The following is a 27,919-nucleotide window of genomic DNA, read 5'->3' as shown; positions in this document are numbered from 1 at the left end:
CTGATAAACCCATCAGATCTCATGAGACTTATTCACTACCATGAGAATAGGATGGAAAAGACCGGCCCCCATAATTCAATTACCTCCCCCTGGGTCCCACCCACAACATGTGGGAATTCTGGGAAATACAATTCAAGTTGATATTTGGGTGGAGACAAAGCCAAAACATATCAGCCATCATCGCAGGTTCAATGAAAAGCTAGTTTAGGAAAATGCTCAAATTAAGATTTCTGAAATATCCCCTTTCCTACCACATGTCCAGTGCATTCTCTCACCGGAGAGTAGGACTTAGGTGGCAGGGGCTGAACCAGCATCACCTCTACTAGTCTTCTTATATGCAGGCAACAAGACTGAAGAAGGGAAAGTGAATTGAGATTGCAGGCAAGAGATAAGGTTGTTTGTCAAGAAAAACCCCGATATTGATCATATCTATGGAGCCACAAGTGGAAGCCAAAAGTGGTCTTCCCAGTGTGTTAATCTCTGGGAGGTGTTCTTATCTTCCAGCATCTACTCCCTTCTAGTTATCTAATTGCATTGTAACAAATCTTTATGACAGAAGTGGAATGCCTCTTTCTCCCTCCCTTTCCCCACCTCCCCTTGGTATGTGATGGTAGACAGTATAGTGACTTCGAGTGTTTATTTAACTGTGCATGCTTTTTCTCCATCGTCTAAACATCCGCCAGGAACCTTGACATTAGTTTCACCTCTCCTCTGGGGCTGAGAGATGGGAAAGAAGCGTCAAGAACTTGAACAGAAATCCAGCTCTCAGTACATTGCAGTAAGTAATCACTTTCTTTTTTTCCTTTCAGAGTAAAAAAACCTGTTTCAAACTCTCTTCAGGGCAACCAATGAATTAAATATCCTACTCATTGCAGACATGCTTCATATTTCACCATGATGGGCAGTCTTAAAGTCTCTACTTAACTATTGATAGCCATTGAGATCCCAGTAATTCCTGAGACACTCATGGCAGAATGGTTCTAATTATTAGACAGCTTTTTCCTAGACTGAGCTGAAATCTGTCACCATGGAATATATCTTTCCCTTCCCCACTAGGCCTAGTTTTTCTCTGTATTAGTCATTCTGCCAGGCATTATGGAAGATATCAAATAGTGAAGGGCATGATCCCTTCATGGAGCTTTAGGCAGGTAAGATATACCGCATGGAAAATAATTTATACATAATATAATAATCCTATGAAGTAAGTATTATGCTTTCTTAAAACAAATGAGGAAAACACATTCAAAAATGTTAATTGCTGCATGTGTTATAGTGAAATGATTGTTCAGCCGGGCGTGGTGGCTCACAACTGTAATCCCAGCACTTTGGGAGACCGAGGTGGGTGGATCACCTGAGGTCAGAAGTTCAAGACTAGCCTGGTCAACATGGTGAAACCCCATCTCTACTAAATATACAAAAAAATTAGCCAGGCATGGTGGCGGGTGCCTATAATCCCAGCTACTTGGGGGGCTGAGGCAGGAGAATCGCTTGAACCCAGGAGGCGGAGGTTGCAGTGAGCCGAGATTGCACCACTGCCCTCCAGCCTGGGCAACAAGAGTGAAACTTTGTCCAAAAAAAAAAAAAAAAGTTTAAAAGGCAGAATTACTGGAGTGCTAAATGGGTTGTATAATGGATGTAGGATTTGACTGGCATTCTAAAAATTTGAGTCATATGGGTAGTTTACTTCCCCTGATCAAGTAGATGTCAAGGGGCACAGCTGAGAGCTATCTTCAAGGAGGACAATGTGTGCACATGGTGACACTGTCTGTTAAGACACTCAGGTGTTGTCTAGATCTGATGATAAATTAATTAGTTTATGGTATTATTTATCTGATGATTAATTTATAGCAGGAAGGACTTCAGCTAGGCAAAAGAAAGAACTATGAACCTAGCTGGTTGCTAAAAAACTGGAAGTTACTACCAATGGAAATGGGTGACATCTCCATCCTTGGAGATCATCAGAGGTGACCAGACAACTACAGGTTCTAATGATTTCAACATTCAGCTGCCCGAAGGCAGGGGCCTGGATGGAATTTTTCTTTCTGGTACCTTTCAGATCTGAGAATCTGATCCTAATTCAGAGGTAGAGGAAAACAGGTAAAATATTTCTCTCCCTAATGTGATAGCAAGTAAAAATGAAAAATAAAGGGCCTAAGGCTGGCTGTGATGTCATTCACCTGTAGTCCCACCTACTTGGGGAGCTGAGAGAAGAGGAGTGTTTGAACCCAGAAGTTTGTCGCTAGCCTGGGCACATAGCAAGACCCTGTCTTTATAAACAAAACAAAATAAAATAAAAATTTAGAAAATAATAGAAGACCTAATTCTCCTTCTTGAAAACAAAAATAAGAGAAAAGACACACCCCCATCAACCCTGCCCTGCAATCCTCAACTCTTTTTTCAGAACTTTTCTGTCCTTCCTTTTCAAATGTATATAAATCTTCTCTTTGGCTAAATAAGTTTCTCAACTCAGGAATGTTTCCTGCAGGGCCTGGGAGTCATCTTTTTGAAATGCAAACATCACGGAAGATAGTGTCCCTATCTCCGAGTTCCTGTGGGAGGGTTAGAGCCTAACTTCAGTGGGTACCTTGCCCCAATTTGCAAAATTATCTTCTGTCATAAAGATATGGAAATTTTGTTTTTCCTCCAAATAAAGCCAACACAGGTGGTCTCCCCAATTACCAAGATAAAGTTAGGACAAACTGTGTGTGACAAAAGGTGTTGTCTCTTACTTAAGGACTAGTGATTGTTTATCTTGGGAGCATGAATGTACTGGGTTGTATCTGCTTGGCTGTACAAGGGGGGAGTTTCCTTTCTGCCTTTGCAATCTCTTAGCAATTGCATGTGATGCACATCACATTCTGGTTTAATGGTTATTCAATAATAAAAATAAACGGTTATTCAATAATAAAAATAAAAATGTTTTATGGCCAGGTGCAGTGGCTCATGCCTGTAATTCCAACACTTTGGGAGGTTGAGGCAGGAGGAGTATTTGAGTTCAGGAGTTTGAGATCAGCCAGGGCAACATAGCAAGACCCTGTCTCTATTTTTTGTATAAAAATTATTTAGGCTGGGCACAGTGGCTTACGCCTGTAATCTCAGCACTTTGGGAGGCTGAGGCAGGTGGATCACCTGAGGTCGGGAGTTTGAGACCAGCCTGACCAACATGGAGAAACTCCGTCTCTACTAAAAATACAAAATTAACTGGGCATGATGGTGCATGCCTGTAATCTCAGCTACTCAGGAGGCTGATGCAGGAGAATCGCTTGAACCCGGGTGGAGGTTGTGGTGAGCCAAGATCGCATCATTGCACTCCAGCCTGGGCAGCAAGAGAGAAACTCTGTCTCAAAAAAAAATTATTTAAAAAATTAAATTTAAAAAAAGTGTTTTGTTTCTCTACTACCTTTGTGGAGGGGATTTCTGGGTTGGACAAGATCTTGGTTTTTTTATTTTCTCAATTTTTGTGAATGAAGGTAAGATGACTGGCAGTTTCTGAATAAAGTGGACAACTGAAGGTCTGTGTCCACACAGAGTCAGGTAAGAGACCCTGATTTTTAAAAAGTCTCCCATCTACCTCTCTACTTGTTTGGAATACTAACTGGATGATACCAAATTCAAGCTGTTGCTACTGAATAAACATGGGAAGTACAGGCTCTAAAATCTCATCAAGATCACCATTAGGTTCATGGTAGAAAAATATGGGATGCCAGGAATGTTGCCTGTAGGTCTCTCTTGAATGGCTAACATATCTCTCACACATTTGGAATGGATATACACATCAGATCCTAGTCCTGCAGTGGCCTAGGGATAGCTCTTTTGATTTGGATAAATTACCGCATTTGCAGAAGTTCTCGGAAGGGCTTTATGTCAAGCAAATGAGTTACTGGTATTTGTGGGATGAATATTATTCTAAGAGGAAACTTAAAAGTGATTTAGATAACCAGAGAGAAAGACTGAAAAAAAAAACAATAGAACAGGAAATACAAAAATTAAGAGCACTTTCTCCTTCACAGAAACCTCCTCCTCCATTGCTTATTCTTGTTCCCTCTGTTCCTGCTGCCTCACTTTATCCCTCCTTGTCTCAGACTCCTGGAAAGGGATGTGTGATGAGCTTTTAGACAAGGGGTTTTCCTGTTTAGGGGGTTCCATGAGAAGAGAAAAAAGGATGTCACTTTTCCAGCTGTAAATGAGTTACCTGCCCTGCTTGAGGACGTAGAATTGACTGCCCCCTGGCCTATCCCCAAGTCCACTTCTTGCCTTAGACCAGATTTCACCTCCAGGGATCTCTTCTCATCCACACACCATTTAGCTAGAAAGGTGAAAAAGATGAAGATAAATAATCAATATCCTGGAATAATTGAGAACTCAGATAAGAGACTGTGTCCCTGTATGAAGGCAGCAGGATGGAGAGTTACTTGGAAAAAGACAAACAAAAAGATATTAGGTTCATAAACACCAGTATGGAAAAACAAACCAAGGTGCCATATAATCCTCCCTTTTTCCTATTTTAATGCATAGAAAACCAGCCCTTTTTACTCAGATCACCAGCAAATCTGAGGCCACCGAGAAGCTCCCCAGGCCCCTTGGGCGCAAAGGAAACATTAAGCATCTATGTGCTCTTCTCCCCTGCCGATATCATCCATCTGAAGGATTTTTCCCGTACCCTGGGAAGATACACAAAAGTTTGCAGAAATGCTCCACAGCTTGTTTTTAGTTTACAGCCCTGCACATAGGGATGTGCACTGACTCTTGTGGGTAATCCTGCAACCAGCCCATTTTGCTTGTTTGAGGACCTGGAGATGATCCACCACCTAAGGTGGCACTGTGACCAGAGGAAATTGATTACCACTCCCCTACAACTACGGAACTGAGCACGTTAGAGATCCATCCAGAGCGATTGCTAGAAGCAATCCACTAAAGGTAAGCTGGGAGAAGTTGCAATGGTGTACCTAGAAGAAGAATGAGTCCTCCATTGATTTCCAGCAGCAGTTTTTGGAGGCTTTCTCAGAATTTACTAGCATGGACCCAGGAGGAGATAAAATCACTCCCTAATCTTGGCAACCTTTACCTCTGCTCTCTTGCTGACTAACCAAGCCCAAATTAAGCAAAAGGTGTTAGGATAGCAAGGACAGACTATTATTCAAATCCTAGCAGCAGCCACTACTCAGTTTAGGGTTAAGACAAAGAAGAAAAGCAGAGATTAAAGACTGCTGTGTTGGCTACTCAGTGAGAATTATTACTAAGGAGGATAATCCCTATACCGGGCAAAGTATAAATATAGCAAAGGAACAGGAGAAAACTGAATGTTATTATTGCAAAATACCAGGACATTGGAAGGACTATAGAAAGAGACTCGGGAGGATACCAAAATTGCAGAGACAGGAGAGTCAGGAAAGCCTAGAAAGATGAAACCCTCAACTAGGAAATAGTTGGCAAATGGCTCAAAATTGACAGATTGGGGGTATCTCAGAGGTGGGAAGTGGTAAACCATCTATGTCAAGGACTTTTACTGAACCCCATCCATCCTTGGCTTTTCTGGTAGATATTGGTGCTACTTATTCTGCAGTTTCCTCAGAAAATTCCTGCTTTCCATCTGGCAACTGATTAGTACAAGTTGTTGGTACTTTGGATCAGCCTCCATTTATTCCTTTTTCTCTTGGATTCCCAAACAGACAGGTGCTCTTACTGAGGTACCTTCATTCTGACTTTCTCCTGTATCTCCTATAAACCTATTGGTGAGAGACCTACTCTGCAAATTAAAGGCTACTATATTTTGTACTCCAGATAGCCTATTGGTGAAGCTCCTTGAACAAAAGAGCACCTGAGATGGTTACTATGTTCCTCATAGAAGAAAAGGGACCAGGCATGGTGGCTCATGCCTGTAATCCCAGCATTTTGGGAGGCTGAGGCAGGAGGATCAGGAAGATCACTTGAGCCCAGAAGTTCGAGACTAGGCTGGGCAACATAGGGAGATCTGTCTCTATTTAAAAAGAAGGAAAACAAGAAATTATTTTATTTATTTATTTATTTATTATTTTTTGAGACAGAATCTTGCTCTGTTGCCCAGATGGAGTGCAGTGGCGTGATCTCAGCTCACTGCAACCTCCACCTCCTGGGTTCAAGTGATACTTGTGCCTTAACCTCCTGAGTAGCTGGGACTACTGGTACGTGCCACCGTGCCTGGCTAATTTTTGTATTTTTAGTAGAGACAGGGGTTCACCATATTGGCCAGACTGGTCTCAAACTCTTGGCCTCAGGTGATCTGCCTGTCTTGGCTTCCCAAAGTGCTGGGATTATAGGCATGAGCCACTGAGCCTGGCCAGCAAGGGAATAATTTAAAAAGGACATTCACCCTGTTATACTACCATACTTCTAGTGAAAAAGGAAGGTAAGTTTCATAGAGATATACAGATTTGCATGAGATCTTGGAGACATAAATAAACTTACTGTTCCATTAACTCTGTGGTCCCTAACCCTGTAACTATTCCAACTTTGGTACTGTCATCTACAAATATTTTTTTCTGTGATTAGTCTATATTTTGCTTTTTCTTCTGTTCCTCTAGTGGGCAAGTCTAAATGTATTTTGCTTTTACTTACGAAAGAGCCCAATATCTGTGGCAAATAATTCCTACAAATAATGCCTCCCTACTATTTTCTCTAGTTATTTTGAGGAAAACTTAGATAAATTTGTTCCACCAGAGGAATCTATAATTAATCAATGTGTAGATGATTGGCTGGTAGCCTCAGAAACTAAAGAGCAACACAAAATGTATTAAAGCATCTATTGTCAGCTGAAGACTGTAAAGTGTTACAGTCTAAGAGTCAACCGATTTTGAATATCAAACAGCTTTCTATAGAGAAACAATTGAGACAATTTTGGGGATTAGTAGGACATTGAAGACAATGAATCCCAACTTCTGCTGAGTGTGCAAAACCTTCGATGAGCAATTGCATGATAACTCTCTCTGGCCTTTAAAATCTGAGGAGGCTTTTGTACAACTGAAATTAGCTATAACTTCTCCCCTAGTCTTGAGGATTCTCAATTTTGAAAACCTTTCCACTTATTTTGTTATGAAAATAAAGGTGCTGCTAGTGAAATATTAGCTTAAAAGTTGGGATTGAACTATAGGGCAATAGTTTATTTATCAGTTCTAGGAGCCACTGCACTGAGAATGCCTGGGTGTCTGCAAGAGGAAGAGGTAGCCAGCATTCTTATTGGAAAAGCCCAAAGTCTTACCTTGAGTCACATGACTTATTTGCATGTCCCACATGCTGTGACAGCAATCTTACAAGTCCATAAAGCCTAGCATTTGTCAGTATGCCATTGAACTAACTGTGAGCAAGCATTATTAGGTAGTCCTAACATAGTACTTGGGAGGTGCAATCTCCTAAACCCTACTACCCCCTTATGAGATTCTGATTAAATAGATGATCATGACTGAACAATGGTAATGGAAGATATTAAGCCCTGGCCTGATTTATTAGACTTCCAGTTTCAAAATGCAGATTTGAGTCATGGTCCTGGGCTAAGAAAGGATGACTGAAGACTTTCTGTGGTGTGGTGACTTCTCATGAAATTTTGGAAGCTTATGTTTTGTCTGGAATTAAATCAACACAAGCAGCTGAGTTAACAGCAGTTACTAGAGCTCCAATTCTTAGTTATGGACTGGTAAATTAAGTTTTACCTAAAGCTGCCTTTTTACAGATTTTATGTTCAGCCTAAAGGCTTTTCTATACATAGTGAACTGTAACCTAACTGGATGTGTAAACAGACTATAACCTACTCTTGGGACAAGAAGCCAAGTCTCAGCCCATCACAGCAGCCATACTTCAACCACTCACAGGTGACCAACTATTCAAACCGTGTTCAAATAAAGCAAATGCCAAACTGTAACCAGTTTGGCTGCTTCTGCACCTCACTTGCATTTTGTGTACATCATTTTCCTTTTTCTCTCCATAAATCCTCTCCAACCACACGGCAGCACCAGCGTTGCTCTGAACATATTCTGGTTCTGGGGACTGCCTGATTCACAAATAGTCCTTTGCTCAATTAAGCTCTGTTCATTTGTCCAAAGGTTTTCTTTTAATAGATGGTGTCAGAAGTAGAATCTGAAATACAGCTTCTAGTGACCCCCAGGAGCATCAAGTAACCAAACAAGGTACCTGCTGGCCCTATTTTGTTCATTGTTTTCTCACAGCAACTGTGAATCATGGGTAAGCTCTCTTGGATTCTGTAGCTACATGGATTTGTGTTTTGAGCTACCTGAGCTTGTTAGAGCACATTTTTATCCAAACTGTGTTCTGGAGTTTACAACAAAATCTGTACTGGGTCTAGGATTAGATTGGATCTGATAATTAACTGCTTGCATCCAGTTAGTTGTCTTGGCTGTCTGACCGTGTCAGACAGGAACTGTCAGTAAATCGCAATACTGCAGGGGGTCTAATTTTTGGCTTCCAGAAATTTTTCAGATTTTTTGTGTTCTATCCCCTTGGTTGTTGTTGTTATTGTTGTTTTTCTTGCACTGTTAGGTAGGGGAAAATTCATTGGCTAAGTTGATCAAGGGGATCTAAATGGTCAAGGTAAAAATGGAATCCTTAATTTCTGAAGAACTGAATACTCCCCCTTCTGACTATGCCTACATTTACATGTATAAGTATTAGGCCCTAGAAACAGCAAATGCTTACAAAAATGGTGAAATGTTACTAAAGATATTTTAAAATTACAGTGGAATGTTCCAAATGAAAAACATTGCACTTTAAAAAGTGCATTTAAAAATGAAAGCTCCCAAACTAGGCTAACCCAGGGATGCCTATTTATGTGCAGAAGTTTCTGAAAAGATTTCAATGTTTTTATTACCTCTTTTAAAAGACCTTTATAAAAGGCAAATAAAAAGCTTAGGCAATGAATTGATAGGAAAAATGAAATCTGCTAACATTTTGGCTTAATAATTATTCCACCCCCAAATGTAAAAAGAAAGCTATCCTGGATAAAGGGTTTATAAAAGGTAGGGCCTCAGGTAAAGTAGACTTGCTTTTTCAGAGCTATTTGTGCTGAGTCCAGACGTACAGAATGCTTTCTTTGCCCTATTTCTCAATGTACTCCACCCTGAACTTAGTAATTTTAGTGAAGAAACAGTAGCTAAGTTAAAAAAAGAAAAAAAAAACCTGCCTATTGAACTAAATCATTCTCCAAAATATACCTTTCTGACATTTAGCTGGCTGCTTTGAAATGCTTTTGTAAATAAAAGTTACATCTATAAAGGAAATCTTCATTTGTAAGAATGCCTGCATCTGTGCACTTGGAAAAGAGGGAGGACTGAGTCACTAGAAACTCTTATCATTGGTTTAAATTTATAAAACAAATCTTACCTTTGTTTAAGGTGCTTTTTCTTCCCATCTTGTCTTAACTAGGCCTTTACCTATATCCTGATCCCTTGGTTTGGGCAAATTATAGTACAATATTTAGGTCTGAAGTCTCAGTTCTCTGATTTTTGAGATATACATTTCCTACCTTATTTGACTTAAGAGTCATCCTATTAGAAATGCAAATTTAGGGTTGCCTAGCTAATGATTGCTTAGAACAATGGAACAGATAATTGGAAGATTGATTGTCACAATGGGGAAAATAAAAAAACTATTTGAGAGCTGGCAAATGAGAATCTTTATGAAAGCTATAAAATTTGCTTCTGTTATGTGTGTCTGTATGTCTATATGTGTTATGTGTATGTAATAATATTTGATTTAGAAAACTAGTTTAAAAATTATTGGTAAAATAAAATAGAAGTGGCCTCAGAATTGTCAGTTAAATATAATTCAGACATTTTTGCCTGGATCTACTGGTCAGACAGGTTTATGTTGTCTCCATGACATGTTTTAAAGTTATGAAACTGGTATCTTTGACATTTGCTTAATTTGTCTGTTAGCTAAAACTGTAAGGCATGGATGCTGGGCTACACTGAAGCCTTGTATATGTCTTACTGCGAGCTTGTTTTTTTATTTTGAGCCTCTGGATTCTGGGATCTGGACAGGTTGTTACAATAGGTAGCTAGTAAGATATGAGCAGAGCAGGAGAGCCCTCCCTCCCCCAACCAGGAATGTCAGGTGACTATCAAGTGATGGTCAGGTGGTTGTTAACTGTCTCTCTAAAATACTAATTGGTTTCAGCCAGTGCCAAGAAAAGGCAGTCTATAGATAGAAAAACCTGAAACTGGTGATCAGCAGCTTCCTGATAAGATCTCAGGAGTTGGGCGTGCATTAAGAGGCAAAATGGCGGAGTTTAACTGGTGTATGACCTTCTAGGGACATTTAGTAGGGGAAGAATGCCTCAGGTGAGCATGCATACATCTCCAGTAAACACACTGCACTTGCTCCTCTTCCAAGTGCTAGCAGTGCCACTGTTCATGTGGACAGCCAACCCAAAGGAAGAATAACAGAAGAAGGGATGCAAGACCCCAGAAGTATGCCAACATATAAAACCCCAAGTCAAAGGTCAAATCATGCACTTGATCTCTCAAGTCATCTCCTTGGCCCTTTTCCAAATAGAGAGGGTCAAGTATTTCCAAATGTATTTTATTTCCTTTTGTTCCTGCTGTAAAGCTTTTTAATAAACGTCACTCCTGCTTTAAAACTTGCCTCTGTCTCTCCTTCTGCCTTATGCCCTTGAGTCAAATTCTTTCTTCTGAGGAGGCAAGAATTGAGGTTGATGCAGACCCACATGGATTCACTGCTGGTAACAAGGTGACCATGGTGAGGCCTAGGAATATGTCCTCAGTGCCTGGACCACTATCTGCAAAGCAGAGCCAACCTCCAATGGCACATTCTCCCTGAACCAGTGTTGCCAGCTGGCCATGCCGGGAGGGGTTTGATCCTCCAGGTGTCATCTTCGCAGTTGTCATCTATCCTGAGCTCTATACCTGTTATGTAAATTCAAGACCCAGATGAGCCCTTCACTATAGAACTGCCTTGGGTGCCACATGGGTACTTAGGACCCAGGATGATTAGAGAAGGTATTAGGGAGGGTATCTATGTCATAATTTAAAAATTCTTTTCAGTAATTAAAAATCTTTAATCTGTTAAATTAACCAATAGATAGTCATAAAATGTTTGAGTTATTTCTAAGTAAGTTAAAATATAGAAACATTAATTATTTAACCTAAGTTTAAGTTTATATATCTTGGCATCTTATTTTTACATAGTATAGAGAAGCTAAATATGTTTAGATCTGTTAATAAACAAGAAAAACTGAAGAAACATCTTTCTTAAAACATTAGGAAATGATTTTCATCTACAAATACTGATATAAAACAGTTCAAAATTACTTCCTAGGTTTTCACTAGAAATTAGGGTTATTAAGAGTTAAAATTAAAGTTAATATATGTCAATAAAACTACCAGATATAATATACAGAATGTATTGTTTTTAAAAAGGAAGATATGTTTTTAGTGAGGAAAGTTGTAAAGGCATGAAGATGTGTATATGTTGAAAAAAATAATTTTGTCTAGTTTAGAAGTTATTTCAAGTTTGTTTCAAATTGAAGGAATAAAATATGATATAGATAAAACTACATGGGTATAAAAATTTGGGGAAAGAAAAAATAGAAAAAGTTTGTGAGAGGCTAAAAAAGATTTATGAAAATCTTATATTGTATGTTCAAAAGCTGCCTGAGGTTGGATGAATTTGTTTGTAAGGTTTTAGTCAAATTAACTTTAGAGTTGATAATACACTAATACAATAGCAAAATTTGGTTTCTCTTAAAGAAGAATTTTATGTAGTACGAATAAGAGTCAGTAAAATATTTTTATTCACCTTTTGAGGAAACTGCAAAAAAGAAAAGGGGAAGAGAAGAGAGACAGATTCTATCTTATGCTGTCTTTATTAGGCCTTCGGATTATTTGGAAAACTGAGCCTCCTCTCTATCAAAGAGTAAAGGTTTTTGCTTTTAGAATCTTTTAATTATCACTTTGACTAAAAGAATGACTATTATTTTATAGTGACATGTGATACTACTTTGATTAAGTGTTTTATACTTTTGATGTATTTGACAGGCTTCCCAAATTCAAATTTCAGATTCAAAATTAAGTCATTTTGACCTCACACTAACTTTGGGATGTTACAGTGGGTGCCTGCAGCATCCAAAACAGGGATCATAAACAGGCTTATTTGACATGTTAAATTACATGAGAAACATTGTCAGATAAGAAATAATGTTTAACCTTCTTCAAGTTATGTTTTTATGGATATGCTATTAATATATGTTTCAAAATTATAAGAGATTCCTAAAATTCTGATATGCCTTGTTATGTTATTGGTTATAATTATGGTTATTATGCAACAGAAATAACCAAATTTATTTGTCATTTTTGTCTTTAACCATGACTATTTTAAGTTGTTTCCACAGTTAACTGCTTAATTCTGATGCATTTTCTTTTTTCTTTCTCCCTTTTTTTTTTTTTTTTTTTTTTTTTAGAGACGAGGTCTCACTATGTTGCCCAGGCTGATCTTGAACTCCTGGGTTCAAGAGATCCACCCATCTCAGCCTCCCAAAGCGCTGGGATTACAGGTGTGAGCCACCGTGCCCAGCCCTGATGCATTTTCTGAAAGCTCTTCAGAAGCAAGTAAATTGCTAAAGTATTGTGTCTCCTAAAACGTTCATGGAAAGGATAGAAAGGACCCTGACATCATTTGCGCTGGGTAAGAATTCCCAGAATTCTAATGAAGAGACTGACTGGTTTATAAAACTGCTAATCCAAGCAAGACAAGAATTAATTGAATACCAAGGAAATACTTTGCCAGATTTTCATGCTAGATAAGCCAATAATGAAATTGTTAAGATCTGCAGTTTCAATAAACTCCATAGTCCAAGCCAAATTACCTCTGATAACTCATCTAATAAACAGTGCTATGCACCTGTATTGGAGAAACAAAATTGGTGTTTACGAGGTTATAAATTAGTTGTTAAATGTGGACTCATGGAGAACCTGGATAACCACATGGTCCCTCTTACATCCTTAAAGCCTCCACTATTAAAAGCTCTGCAATTTGTATATATGGAAGACAATAGAAACTTCTGGTTTTTGCTACCTGATGTGCCATTTGGACATTTATAGAGGGATTTTATTTCTCTGCCATTTTCAGTGCATGTTTTCTAGATGTTTAGAAGCTTTTTCATGCAAGAAGACTGATGGTATAACAGTGGCTAAGAGGTTATTAGGAAATGTGTTTCCCTCATGGGGCATTCTGGAGAAATCTCCAATGATAGAGGTATTTGTTTCACTGGACAAGTTGTAAAACAGTTAAATAAAGTTTACAGATACAACAGCATTAGACAAAGTTAACTGAATTGGCTGGATTTCCTTGGTCAATGGTATTGCAGATTGATTACAATTAGATCCACTTTCAATGGAAAATATAAGTTGACCCCTTATGAAATAGTCACTGAAAGGTTTGTGCCCCTAATAATAGGACCTCATGTATCCTCTGCTCCTAAACTCTGAAATGACTAAATGCTGCAAATCTTTAATGCATTATGCCAAAGTGCACTTTTTTTTTTTCGAGATGAAGGAAGCTTTTCATGATGCACTAACTGAAGACAATGAAACCCATTATGATCTAGAACCTGGAGACTGAGCCTTCTAAAAACATCAGAACCAGCATGGCACATGTATACATATGTAACTAACCTGCACATTGTGCACATGTACCCTAAAACTTAAAGTATAATAATAAAGAAAGAAAGAAAGAAAGAAAGAAAGAAAGAAAGAAAGAAAGAAAGAAAGAAAGAGAAAAAATCAGAAAAAGACTGCCCTTGCCACCTACACTGCAGCAATAGAATCTCTGGTCCATGGAGTCACTCATGCTAAATGTGACATAATCAAACTGAAACTTGAAACTTGAAACTATGGAAGCAGATAGATCCCAAAGCAGACTACGGTTATTTTTTTTCTGTCTCTCTCCTGAAACAGGAGACTCTAGCATAAGAAAGCCCCTTCTGGCCCGGTGCGGCGGCTTACGCCTGTAATCCCAGCACTTTTTGCTTGAGCCCAGGAGTTCAAGACCAGCGTAGGCGACAGAACAAAACCCCATCTCTACTAAACGTACAAAACTTAGCTGGGCATGGTGGCAGTCGCCTGTAATCCCAGCTATTCGGGAAGCTGAGGTGGGAGAATCACTTGAACCCGGGAGGTGGAGGTTGCAGCGAGTCGAGATCGCACCACTGCACTCCAGCCTGGGCGACAGAGTGAAACTCCTTATCAAAAAGAAAGAGAAAGAGAGAGAGAGAAAGAGAGAGAAAGCCCTTTCTGGAGTAACCCTTACAAAAAAGTAACCTGAAGTCCTTGTTCCCACCTTACAAATTCCACTGCTTTGCTATTTCCCAGTGGGATTTGAGTCCAAATAAGAACGTTTATGATAGCGACAGAGTGACATCAATCGCCTAAAGAGAGGATTTGTTAAATTAAGTTTAACCTAAAACTGCCTCCTTACATATTTAAATTTGGTCTAAAAGTTTCTTCATATAAAGTGAACTGTAACCTAACTGGATTTGTAAACAGACTATAACCTACTCTTGTAACAAATAGCTGAATCTTAGCCAATTACAGCAGCCGAGTTTCAGTCAATCACAGGTAGCCAACTGTTCACACCATGTTCAAATAAAGCAAGCACTGAGCTGTAACTAATCTGGCTATCTCTGTACCTCATTTCTGTTTTCTGTTCACTTTCCTTTTTCTGTTTAGAAATCCTCCCTGACCACATGGCAGTGCCAGAGTCGCTCTGTACCTACCGTGGTTCTGAGGGCTGTCTGACTCCTAAATCATGCTTTGCTCAATTAAACTCTGTTAATTAATTAATCATTTAATTTGTCTAAAGTTTCCATTTTAACCAGACTTAAAGTGTATATATATATATGTATATATATACACACATATACACATATATATGTATACACACATATATATGTGTGTGTGTGTGTATAGTCACACTGATAGTAACTATGTCTTTGGTGTCTGTCATGCAACAGAGCAAACAATTTTTTAAATAGAGGGAATAGAACTGAAAAAAACCTCCTATCCAATTGGTAGCTGATTTATTAGGAGTTTTACAACTGCCTGCTCAGGTATCGGTAGTTCATTTTGCTAGCAAAGCTTCAAAAGCTGCTGTTAAAACACAGCAATCTCCAAACTTAAAAAGCTTCATTTTTAACACAATGAGAAACGTTTGTTCATTTTTAAAACAATCCTTTGTAAAAGAAAATAGACAAAAGGATTATAAAAGGGGCTAAATGAAATTTGACCGACTATGGAAACTACCTAGCAAACTAACTCCTATGCCACAGTACGCATTTGCTTGGTTAGTATTGTCATGTCATCAACAAAATCACCTGAATAAAAGAGGGAATTTAAAGACACTAAATTCTTTCTACACCTACCAAAAAGGGAAAAGTATTCAAAACGTATGGAAAAGAGATGTGCTCTTTGTCAGCAGAATTCTATACAGGCCACTCCCAAGGTAAGCCGAAGAAGTTCTCCCTGGCCAGCTTTACGAGGAACCTGGTGGCATTTGATTTCATAGAGTTAATGCCTACAGAGAGTGCTTTTGTCTACTTACGGTGTGTGTAAGGTCTAGATGGCCTGAGGTCTTTTCCTTTTCCAAAGCTGATGCTCAGGCAGTGATAAAGGCTCTCCTATTACACATAATTCCCACTTTTGGGATACTAAAGCATATTGAATCAGAGGAAGTCATTTTACTTTTACTCTTGTTGAGAAATTATGCAAATGTTTACAGGTCTCTAAAAGTTCCAGTCTTCTGCACAAGCAGAGCAAATAAATGCAAAAAAAGCAAACCAAAAATCAAAACCAAACATTCCTTGGATAAGATTCAGCAATCTATCGGGTTAAATTGACCTAGAGCCTTATCAATTAGCCTTATTACAAATTAGAATTTAAAAAATAGAATAACCCCTGCAACAAACATGGAATCTCTTCTTTGGACTTATATTTGGGAAGCCTATGAATTTGAGTCTGAGGCCATATGATATGCCTGACTTAACTGAATCCTTTCATAATCGTATTCAGTACTTTAACAAGCTTCTCTCTTCTCCCCAGAAACCCTGAGACAAAGTCAGAAAGATCTGGAAAGACCTGCCAGAGGAAATCTGCCACCCCTCTGGACTAGGAGACTTCATCTACATAAAAGTGGGCTGTCACCATGCTGGGAGGGACCCTTTAAAGTGCTGTCGATGACCCATAAGGCTATCAGTGCAAAAGGCAAACTGCTGAATCCAGGCTTCCTATGTGAAGCTAGCACCACAGGACAGGTGGACTGTGCTTTCTACAAAGGACCTAAAACTGAAGTTTTCTACTCAACTGAAAAGAAGTATTCTAGAAAATGTATTACTATTCCTATAGGCTGCCTGGCTGTTCTGTTCATGACGGTGGTTATTCCAATTACTTTGAGAATTATATTTATTAGAAAACAAACAGTATTATTTGTTGCACTTCTTTTTTCTTCTGCACTCCCAGTAAATGTTCCCATAACCCCACATCACCAATCAGCTTTAAATTATGCTCCCAGGATTAACATGATCTGGACTTACAAGTCCAACAATTTCATTTTTAGCAGAGTGTAAGTGGGGTCATTTTCACTAGTACTGTTCAATAATAATGAAAGTAATAAATATGCATCCAGACACTCAAGCTCTAAATTTGACACCAAGAAAAGTTAACTGGTTTGATTGGAAGGATGATGTAGAAAGGCATCTAATGAATAGACAAACAGAAACTGCAAAAGACAGTTTTAATGTCACTAGATTCACAATGGGATGCAAGTTCTCTCCAATTCCAGTACAGATGAATAAACAAAAGTGAATGCCTGTTATATTTAAAGGTTATTCCTCCAAGGCAAATATTATACTGAATTTTAAAATTCATCATACTGTGATTCTGGTAATTGCATTGTTTGCATTTTACTATAGATTTGCTGAATTTTCAGGCAACTGCAAGTTGCCCAGAAAAAGGTACAAATAATTAGGAGATTGTAATGTGATTTTTGTAGTAACACAGGGAGGTGATTGTAAGGGCAAATACAAATTAAAAATAAGAGGCTTAACTCTCCCTGTTGAAAATAAGAGAAAATATCTCCCCTCTTTCTTTTCAGAATTTCTTTTTCTATTCTTTTCAAATGTGTATAAATCTCTATGGCTAAATAAGTTTCTCAACTCAGGAATGTTTCCTGCAGGGCCTGGGAGTCATCTTTTTGAAATGCAAACATCACGGAAGATAGTGTCCCTATCTCAGGTAAGAGCCTAACTTGGTGGGCTCCTTGCTCCAATTTGCAAAACTACCTTCTGTCATAAAGATATGGGAAGTTTGTTTTTCTCCAAATAAAGCCAACACAGGTGGTCTCCCCAATTACCAAAATAAAGTTAGGACAAACTCTGTGTGACAAAAGGTGTTGTCAAGTCCTCTAACTTGAGGACTAGTGATTGTTAATCTTGAGAACACGTATGCACTGGGGTGTATCTGCTGCCTATGTAAGGGGATGAGATTCCTTTCTGTCTTTGGAATCTCTTGGCAATTGCCTGTGAGACCCATCACATCCTGGTTTATGGTTATTCAATAATAAAAGTGGCTTGCATAAGAGCGTGAAGGATAAACTTAAAAGAAAACTAACAGTAAAGGTGGTTTGTTTCTCTACTACCTTTGTGGAGAAGATTTCTGGTTAATTATATTTCCCCCACACTACCCCAAAGCATCAGCAAGTATGCCTTCTGTTGTGTTCTATGGTATTACTGTTTTATTCCTGTTTAAAAAAAAAAAGTGGGAAATCTGCTCCAAACAGCCCTATGGTGGCGTAGCCAGCAGTGATTAATCAAACCTATCTGTGCTTTAATAAGCCACCCCCAACCCCTAGCCCCCATCCCCACCCCCTAAGGACATCAGTCAACAGATGACTTGAGAAGAGCACTGCATCATTGTTTTCTTTCTCTCTGTGTGTGTATTCAGATACTGCTTAGTTCACCAGAAGAGCCTTGTCCAGCTCCTTCTGCCAACCTTAGGTGTGAGGCACTTTATCTTTCTGTGGCAGGACCAAGCCCCTGTAGTTCCTATAGTCCAAAGGATTGATGAAAGACTCTCTGTGCCTCCTCTGAGAGCTACTGCAGCCACAGTTTCATTTGTGTTATTAACCTTCTGCAAAGTTGGCTTTCCACAGAAATACAATGGCTCCTCCTGAAATGACACTGTGTCTGTGTATCTTCTTTCTTCCCTTATTTAGGATTTTTTTTCCAAAGGATCAGGCTGAGGTCCCTTGGAGGAAAGGGTCTTATCCATTTAATTATCTTCTACTGGTGCATCTTTGCCCCACCTCTCCCACTTTGTTTAAAGACACTTGCTTTCTCTGCTTGATTTTTAAAGTCCTCATAAAATGGGCAAGCCTAACCTTTCTAGCCTGATTCTACTGCCCCTTCCTCTGACATTTAAGCATCTAGTACTCAGCACTGGCAGATAGTTGGCACCCAGATTTTTGTTGAAAAAAAAAGAGATTTCAGCTTCTAGAACATCCTGGAATATCCTTTGGTAAGCCTGCCTACAACTTAAGCACTCTTCCAGGAATGTTCTTTCACCATGGAAACCTCCCAAGATTTCATAGTGAAATGGGAGAGTTCCCTGACCTACCCTGCAGGACGTGTGATGGGTGTGGCTCGTCTGTTCGGCCGCCATGCATGCTCAAACCACTTACAGGATGAGGAGCACACTGATGGGCAAGTGCAGGAGCTGGGGCAAGCACTTTTGGGCTCCGGCCCCACGGTAGCATCTAGGGGTGGGTGCTTGGGACTCCCGAAGCCCAAGTGGGTGCATGTCACACTGTGCTTTTTTAGCTCTGTCATCTACAAACGGCTTAAGTGTTAACCACCTCAGAGCCCTCTTGGTACCCAGGTTCTTATCTGGCATCCAGGAAGAATCAGGTCTCACACGGACTTGAAGAATGGTGAATGCAGGGGTTTTATTGAGTGATGGAGGTGGCTCTCAGTGGGATGGATGGGGAGCTGGGAAGGGGATTGAGTGGGAAGATGATCTTCCCCTGGAGTTTGACCATCCAGCGGCCAATCTCCCCTCCCACCACCCCAGCCGAACTCCTCTCGATGTTCAGATTCTCCTTCTCTTCTGTCCTTCTCTGCCACGCTGTTCTGCCACTCTTCTGCTCTTCTGTTCATCTGCTCATGGAGCCTGGGGTTTGGGGTTTATATGGGTACAGGATGGGGGGTGTGGTGGGCCAAAAGACAACTTTTGGGTGTGAAAACAGGAATGCCTATTCCCATTTAGGGCTGTGGGTTTTCAGGCTTGAGGGTCAGGCCTTTGCCAGGGAACTGCCCTCTTCTACCCAGTATTTCCCTTTCTCCTGTCCATATCAATAGCACATGCTCCCTAACCCCGCCCCTGCACTACCACCACCACCACTATGGAAATCAATCTCTGCCACATACATCCACAGCACTTTGATGCATGCCATACTAAAGGTATCACTAGTCTGCCTGGATCAGTGATTTATGTATGTGCACGTGTCCTTACCACACTGGAGCCCTTGTGGGACTCCACCTGCAACTGATTCGCCTTTAAATCTCTGTATGCCTGTGCTTGACAGAAGAGAGGTAAATGTTTGAATCGAAGTCTTGCTCTCTTTAGGCAAGAGAAAGAAATATATCTAGCCCTCCCTACCTCCCCTAACACCCCTCCCTCTCTTCTGACCATGCAGCAGCCAGCCTGTGCAGGAGCTGCCCTTGAGAGGGGGGAAAATGAGAGATTATGACAGTGTCACAGCACTGAGGCACATAAATATTTACAGACTGGGTTTGTTTATAGACTAGAGGAGTGTGACAGTTCTGCTTCAGCCCCTTCACTTTAGCCACTTGGTGTGAGGCAAGCAAAGCAGCCTTACCCACTTTCAGCTCCCAAGAGGACCAGGGAGGTTCTCCACAAGCCCCCATATGTGGTGCTGACCATTCTGGGCCCCCAGGTCTTAGGCACCTGGGATGCTCATGAGGCTGCTTGGTATCTGCATTGCCTGATTCACCTGGAGAGAGGAGGCTCAGTATGTGTAACCTCACCTAGCCAACCAGCAACTCCTATTCATGACTGCATTTTAAATCTATTGCATCGGTAAGAATGGACTATTCTGCCCACAAGTCCTTGGATGTAACTCATTACAGGCAGGGCTTTGCAGCTTCAAGAACAGATAGCTACTTTGCAGAGGCTTTTAAAAAGCATTTGGTCTCATTCAGGCAAGTAAATATTACTGAGTCCCTTCTTTTCCTCCTTTTCATTCATTCTGAAACCCAGAGGGTTGAGAGGAAGTGGACAGTAAAGGACAGATAGGCCCCAGGGGAACCTCTAGGGTCTCATACCCTAAACTTCTGCACAGACAACAAGGCTTTGCATTTGCATAGTAATTGTTTATTGAGCTTTCCTATATGCCAAGCACTGTGCTGAATACTTTACATGCATTATTTCATTTAGCTCTCAAAAACAACAAAGACTCCACCAATAAAGTGCATGTGTTCAATGTGTGAGGGCTCACTGAGTTGCACAATGTGCAATTGGATTACGTGCAATTTTCTGTATATATGTTATACTACAATTTAAAAAGCCCTGTGAAGTACATGCTGTTATCTTTTTTCAAAAAAGAAACCAAGTGAGTTTGATCCCTGAATCCAAACTCTTTACCACAACGCACTACAAAGTATCTCTAAGAATTTTCCCTAAACACAATGGTTCAGAAGGAATGGCAGCGGCCTCAAGTTACCATCCCCACACCAAGATCTGGTTAGATGAGCTCAAGCCCACTGGACCTGGCCGGTCTCTCGCCTACCTGCCTAAGTCCTGGGAGGACAGAGACCTTTATGAATTTCTCACCCCACCAAACACAGCTGGACCCTCCAGGTTCTACTTTCAAAAGCCATTCCTAAGCTCCCAGCCCTCACCAGGGATGAATCAGGGGTGATGATTCACTTTATGAATAGATAATTTTTTTTCTTAAACAAAACAGTTCATTCTCTGACTTCTTTCAAAAGTAGTGGGCTTCCCTAAGGATACCCTGATACTGCATACATAAGTAGCCACCTATTAGAGATCCTGAGGACACAGAGCAGGTGGGAGAAGTGAACTTGCCCTTTACTTGGAAGTCACTGACACTTGAAAACTAAACAAAAAGAAGGCTGAGCATCTCTGAAATTTCAATTTAATTGAATGGGGAAATATTTGTTTCACAATAATTTTATGTGCATAATAACCCTTAAGGGCAGTTTCTATTGTTCAAGATGAGGGAGCAGGCAGAATGCAGAAGTGTTGGATTAACCATGTTGGTGGATTGGCAGCTCCTGCCTCAGGGCCTTCGCACTGGCTGCTCCTTCTACCTAGAAACTCTTCCATCAGATAGTGCCGTGGGTGATCCCTTGCATCCTTCAAGTCTCTGCTCACACTTCACCTTCTTAGAGAGACCTCCTGGGGCCATTCTATGTGAGATCCCCCCATCCTCCCTCTGTCTCCTTTACCTTGCTTCATCTTCCTCCATAGTTAGTGTCCCCATCTAGTGTGTGCATACGCACATGATTTCTTGGCAATGTGTTGTCTCCTGACATTGGAATATAAGCTTCACAAGAGCAAGCCCTGTGTCTCTTTTGCTCCCTACTCTACTCTCAGTAACCAGAACAGCATCAGGTCTACAGTAGCTGTTCCATAAAATGTGTTAAATAAATAGTTGCTTCCAAAGTAGGTTTCTCCTTTTGGGAATTCTGTGTGTTCTGTTCTCACAGCCACCTGAATGATTAAATTACATTTCAGTCTGTCCCTACCTATATTGCCAGTAGTCTCCTCTTTTGGTTGTATCCTCTTTGGGAAATGAGAGTTGCTGATAGTTTCATGAGAGATGAGAAGGCATCAGTTTTAGTCTGGGAGGGACCAGAACTGATAAACCCCAGCCCCGCAGCCATATTCCCCACCAAATTTCACACTTTCAGTGAAGTGCTCCCGAAGGGCAGACACCGTATTTATTCTTTTCTTTTGTTTCACTTTCTTCCCCAGCACCTACTGTTGTAGTCGGCACATTGCAGGTACTCAAAACAATTTTGTGAATGAGGATGTATGTCTTCTTCAGATGGGATCATTCCCTTGACCCCTTTGCAGGACTTGCAAAGATGTTCACCTGTTTACTCAGCCTGCAGCTCTCAACCCCTCATGGAATGGGGAGCACACAGGTGAGTGGGTGCAGGAGCCAAGACGAGTGCTTCTGGGTGCTGGCAGGAGTAGAACTCTCTGTGGCCCCATGGCAGCATCTGGTACCCCTGTGACCCCTGGAGCCCCAGAGGGCATGTGTTACAGTGTGATCTTTTAGCTTTGCCATCCATGGACACCTTAAGTGTTTAACAGCTCAGTGGAGGGTCAGGGTAACAGCTTTTTGCACCTACCCTCTGGGTACCTGAGTTCTGGTCCAGCATCCAGGAAGAATCAGGTTATGTGAACAAATTGAAGGGTGGTAAATGTGGAGGATTTTACTGAGCAGTGGAAGTGGCTCTCAGCGGTATGGGAGCTGTAAAGGGGATGGAGTGGGAAGGTGGTCTTCCCCTGGAGTTTGGCCGTCCTCAGCCGAACTCTTCTCTGTCTCTGAAGTCCTGCCATCAAGCCCTCCCTCTGAAGTCAAGCTGTTTCTCTCCGACACCTGGCTGCTTCTTCTTTTTTCTCCTCTGTGGCTCTGCTTCTGGGGCCTGGGGTTATTATGGGTGCAGGATGTGAGGAGAGGAGAGCCAGGGTGGTTTTGGAAAAGGCAACATTCGGGTGAGAAAACAGGAATGCATGCTCTCACTTTGGGCTGCAGTTTCAGGCTTAAGGGTGTGTCACTTGCTGGGACCACCCTCTTCTACCCAGTATTTCCCTGCCTCCTGTGTGTATCACTCTCAGTTTCACACACCAAAAAGTATATTCCTCCATGCCAGACTGCTGGACACTGGATCCACACCACTCTCTCTCCTCTGAGGATGCTGCTGTCTCCTCCCTCCCTGCAGCTCCAATGTGACATCCTCAAGAGGGTTCTCTTACCACCCTAACAAAAGGAACTGCTTGCCCCCAACACACATGCATACATGCACACTCTTTTCCTGGTTTCTTTTCTCAAATCACCTTGCACTAACTGAAAGTATCAATTAAGATCATCAAGTTCAGTTAGTCCATTTCATAGATGAAACCTGGGCAGGTTAATGTGCATTTACCCACAGATAACAGCTAGTTACTGAAAGAGCAGAAGCATGATTAAAATCTTCCTGCTAGGAGGATCTTCTCCCTCAGCACCCTGAGACCCCTCATTGGCCCTGTGTGTCTTCCTGGAAGGTGAGCTGTGAAGCAGCCCACCCCTGGTCAGCTGTTCCTGGTGGAGCCAAGGCAGGGTAAGGCCCACAGCTTGCTCCCTCCCGGTCCTCCATCCACTCTGGGGAGAGGGCCTGGGCCCAGCCCCCTCACACTCCCTCAGGGATCCTTTTGGCTGCAGCTTCTCCTGCACACTAGCATTTTTTAATTTTTGGCTGGTGGGGGTAGGATTTCTGAGTTCCAGTTTGAAGAGGGAGAATCTGACAGACCTGGCTAAGAACTAACCTCTCTGTCCATGTTAGGGGCACCAATCAATCAAAATGTGAGTTGGTTACCCTTGAGTGAACTGTCCACTCCAGCCTCACTCATCTGCCACTGGGGGTGAGGGTAAGGGCGGAGACAAGAAGAGTCAGGGGTGCATGATTGCCCACCTGCCCTTCAGCAGGGACTGGCTTTGTCTTCCTTTCTTCTGGTCCTTTAGAAATTGCAGAGGAAGAATTCCAGCTCAGATCTGTCCACTCCCTCAGGGTCCCAGACTCACACACTTTTTACCACACCTTCTCCACTCTCATGCCTCCACCCATCCCTGCCTCCTAGAGATCAGGGAAAGGGCCTCTGAGCACTGGCCCAAGATCTCTCAGGTAGGGCCTGTTTTAGAGAAAAAAGGTTGTTTAAAAACATAGCCAAACACAAATAACTCCTGGCGCAGATGATTAGTATTCATTTAGCTCTGCCTAGACTTATAACTCCCAGGGTGTCAAGGAGCAGGACAGTTTACAAGCTTTGGATTCAAACCCATCATTAAGGCCATTATTAATGATGAGTTTGGATTCAAACCCATTGTTAAGTCAAGAAAGGGATGACCAGATAGTAGATATTCCCATTACCTTTATTTCATTACATGAATGTATAAAATTATCACATGTACCCCCAAAATATGTACATCTACTATGTATCAATAAAAAAAGAAGTCATGACCACCTTAGATACCCATATATGTCTTCTGAATCTGGATTGGGAGCAGAGACATCTGTTTCTGCACACCTGGAGCTGCTCTCCTCTCTCTGACCCACTAAGGAAGTGTAGCAGAGCAGTAGTGATAAAAGTGACCTTATTATGCACACTAGGCTGAGTGGGCTCTAAGTTCCTTTATGTGTATGTCTGAAATATATCTTTGTTTTGTTTTGTTTTGTTTTGTTGAGACAGGGTCTTGCTCTGTTGCCCAGGCTGGAGTACAATGGTGCAATCATGGGTCACTGCAGCTTCAACCCCCTGGGCTCAAGGGATCCTGCTGCCTCAGCCACTTGAGTAGTTGGGACTACAGTCATATGACACTGTGCCCAGCTAATTTTTTTTTTTTTTTGTCAATAGCTTATTGGTTTCATTAAAATATTTCCTCTTAGAAGTAATTCAAAACACCCATTTAAAAAACATATTACATTCCTGTTGCGTCCACTTACTATTATTGAAAGAAGAGTCTACATTTGATTATGCACCCAGCTAATTTTTTAAGTTTTTTGTAGATACCAGGTCTTGCCAGGTTGGCTAGGCTGGTCTCAAACTCCTGGGCTCAAGCAATCCTCCCACCTTGGCCTCCCAAAGTGCTATTACTACAGGTGTGAGCCACCCCATCCTGCTTGTAATATTTCATAATTTTAAAAAATTGTTGCTAATCTGGATATTTAAACTATTTTTACTAACTACTCATTTGTGACACAGCTCACGAACTTGATACCTTGCAACCTGGTTGAGAAAGATGCTACAAAGAATTTCTGTGCCCCAAGGACATACATGATATAGCAGGGTTGTATGAAGGCATTTGAGTCCTAACACTCAAACAGTAGGTGCTGGTGAAAAAAAGAGAATAAATACAGTGCCTGCTCTTGGGGAGCACTCTACTGAAGGTGTGAGGTCTAGTGGGAGGTGTCTCCCACCCCCTACCATATGCAATTCAAGTTAAGCAATGCTAAAACCATAAAGTGACAAATAACAAAAATTTACTTGTATGTTAAAAATCAAGTCGCTTCTTGGATGGGCTCTTCTGGCTTTCCTAGATCCATGCTTTGTCTTACTGGTGGGTAAAGTCTAGACCAGTGCTGGTCTAGACTGTAAGCTCCCTGAGGGCAGGACTGGGGATTACAACACCCCATGTGCCTTACAGCTCGCCTCACGCACAGCCTGCCTCTAGTGTGTGCTGCCTCCATCTCTGTGGAATATAGAGGAACTAACTGTTTCTGGGTGTCTGGAATGGATGCTTGAAGGACAATGGGCTGAGAAGCCTCAGAAGTCATTTTTTTCCTCATCTATGGAAGTGCTGAAGGAACCCTAAGGAGGTGGGTCGTTACAGACCTGCTTCCATCTGTAACTCCTGCTCATGGACACATTTGCTGGGCACCTCATCTGGGGATGAGGACAAGGTTGGCTCACCACTGAGCACTGACACAGTTCAGTTTGAGGCAGGACCAGATTTAACATTTTTATCCACCCACCTGCTTTCCTACTATTTGCGGCTTCATATCTTTATGTCTTGAAGGCTGTGATATTGTGATATAATAAGAAATATATATTTGGTCTTCATCCGTGTCCAAGGCACAAGAGCTCCTAAAACCCTTGGAATTTTCTGAGGGATAGGTGTGAGAGGAGTGTCTTTGTTATTTATAATAAGCCCCTTTCAACCATACCTCAGTTTGTGCAAGTGAGGTGACTCTTTGAGGATGGGGGTTGGTTGCAGAAAAACCAACCCTGTGATTAGAGGGTTGGAACTTTCAGCCCTGGACACCATTCCTGCCTCCACCCCACATCTCTGGAGAGGGGCAAGGGGCTGAAGATGGACTTAATCCCAATGACCAAAGATTTAATCAACCATGCCTATGTAACGGAACCTTGGTTAAAAAAAAAAAAAAAAAAAACTAAAGAAAGGGGTTCAAAGAGCTCCAGAGTTGGTGAATGCTGGGAGGGTGGTGCAACCCAACTCCATGAGTACAGAAGTCCTGTGCTTGGAACCTTCTTGGACCTTGCCCTATATGCCTCTTCATCTGACTGCTCATCTGTTTCCTTTATAATTAACCAGTAACAGTAAGGAAAAGTGTTTCCCTGAGTTCTGTGAGCCCTGATAGCAAATTATCAAACCTGAGCAGAAGTCATGGGAACGCATGATTTGTAGCTTAGTTGGTCAGAAGTACTGGAGGCCTGAGACTTGTGACTGTTGTGTGAAGTGGGGACAATGTTGTGGGACTGAGCCCTTAGCCTGTGGGGTCTGTGCTAACTTTGGGTAGTCAGTGTCAGAAATGACTTAAATTGTAAGTCAGCTAGTTGGTGTTCACAGAGAATTAGTGAACTTCTTGATGGGGAAAACTTGTGTGTCTTGTGTTTAAAGTGTTGAGTATAGAAAATAGTTTTCTTTTAAAGGTCTTCGGATTACCTGAGCCTCCTCCTTAAGGGGCAGCCACCTTAAGCTTTTGTTAACCTACTCTTCAGGTACCAGGAGCCTCAGTTAGGCCTAGTAGGAATAAAAGTGGACATAGGATAATATGACAAATAATGTGGCTTGGCTTACCCAAACCCCATTTCCAATTCACTTCCTACTTGCCGCCTTTCCCACAGGGGTGGCCAGGAAACACAGTTTTAACTAATGAGACATAGATGGAGCTCTGCTGTGAGGTTCCTGGGAAATCCTTTGCTTTTCTCATTCAAGCATCACCCTGATTCTTTTATAATTGAGTCCAAAGCTCATACTACTCACCACACAACAGCCAATAAGTAGAGATACAAGGTGTTGGGGCAAGGAAAGCAACTTTTATTGGGAAAGCCAACAAACTGAGAAGATGGTGGACTCGTGTCCTAAAGAACTGTCTTAAGTTAATACAAATTTTAGACTCTTTTTATGTTAGGGGAAGGGAGAAGAGGAAGGGAATTGAGGTCAAGAGATGACTGATGATCACAGACATCTGGGTGGCAGTGAGGGTCCAAGGAGGTTGTGAAACTTCTGTGTTCTTGGTCAAGTCACAGTGCTCCTCTAAATCTTTAACATGGACAGGGATGGTGGCTCATGCCTGTAATCCCAGCACTTGACGGAGGTTGAGGCAGGAGGATCTTTTAAGCCCAGGGATTCAAGACCAGCCAGGGTAACAAAGTGAGACCTAGTATCTACAAAAATAAAAATAAGAACAAAAAATTTGTCAGGCAAGGTGATGCATGCCTGTAGTTCCAGCTACTTGGAAGGCTGAGGTAGGAGGATAACTTGAGCCCAGGAGGTCAAGGCTGTAGTGAGCCGTGAGTTTGCCACTGCACTCCAGCCTGGGAGACAGAGTGAGAAAGACCCTGTCTCAATCTTTAACATACTTGTGCATACACCCTCCGTATCTCCTTGAAGGTTAGCTGGGGAAGGGACTATTATCCTTGCTTTAAAGGTAAACTATAAGCTAAATTCTTCCCACAGTTAGCTTGGCCTATGTGCAGATAAGCAAAGCAGTTAGCCCAAAAGATATCACTCCGCCTGGGGGATGGGGAAATAGCAGCAAACTGGAGTTAGTCATGCTAGGCTTCCTTTTCATGGGTACACTTTCCCTGTTTTT

The 27,919-nt window shown here is 41.4% G+C and overlaps 1 long non-coding RNA gene across 2 annotated transcripts, besides 1 other annotated feature; it reads left to right on the top strand.

Annotated features, from left to right (window-relative positions):
• Positions 1-68: 68 nt before the first annotated feature.
• LINC02803 (long intergenic non-protein coding RNA 2803) lies at positions 69-27,438 on the top strand. Of its 2 annotated transcripts, XR_001738304.2 has the most exons (5): positions 69-778; positions 4,516-4,917; positions 12,464-12,687; positions 16,098-17,288; positions 22,071-27,438. It is a non-coding gene; the product is annotated as a long intergenic non-protein coding RNA 2803 (long non-coding RNA). The 2 variants fall into 2 exon arrangements; XR_007066741.1 differs by lacking the exon at positions 22,071-27,438 and having other exon boundaries at positions 4,788-4,917; positions 16,098-16,472.
• Positions 4,676-4,863: a silencer, noted in NCBI's record as "fragment chr1:175885507-175885694 (GRCh37/hg19 assembly coordinates)". NCBI's record gives its function as "represses an EF-1alpha promoter that drives an FKBP-Casp9 reporter gene in an ReSE screen in K562 erythroleukemia cells {active_cell/tissue: K562}" and the evidence as "EXISTENCE:reporter gene assay evidence [ECO:0000049][PMID:32094911]".
• Positions 27,439-27,919: the final 481 nt, after the last annotated feature.

The sequence above is a fragment of the Homo sapiens genome, chromosome 1 (genome assembly GCF_000001405.40).
Source record: "Homo sapiens chromosome 1, GRCh38.p14 Primary Assembly".
Lineage (NCBI taxonomy): Eukaryota > Metazoa > Chordata > Mammalia > Primates > Hominidae > Homo > Homo sapiens.
Note: the sequence above shows the minus strand (reverse complement) of the source record. Positions and strands in the feature narration are given on the sequence as shown.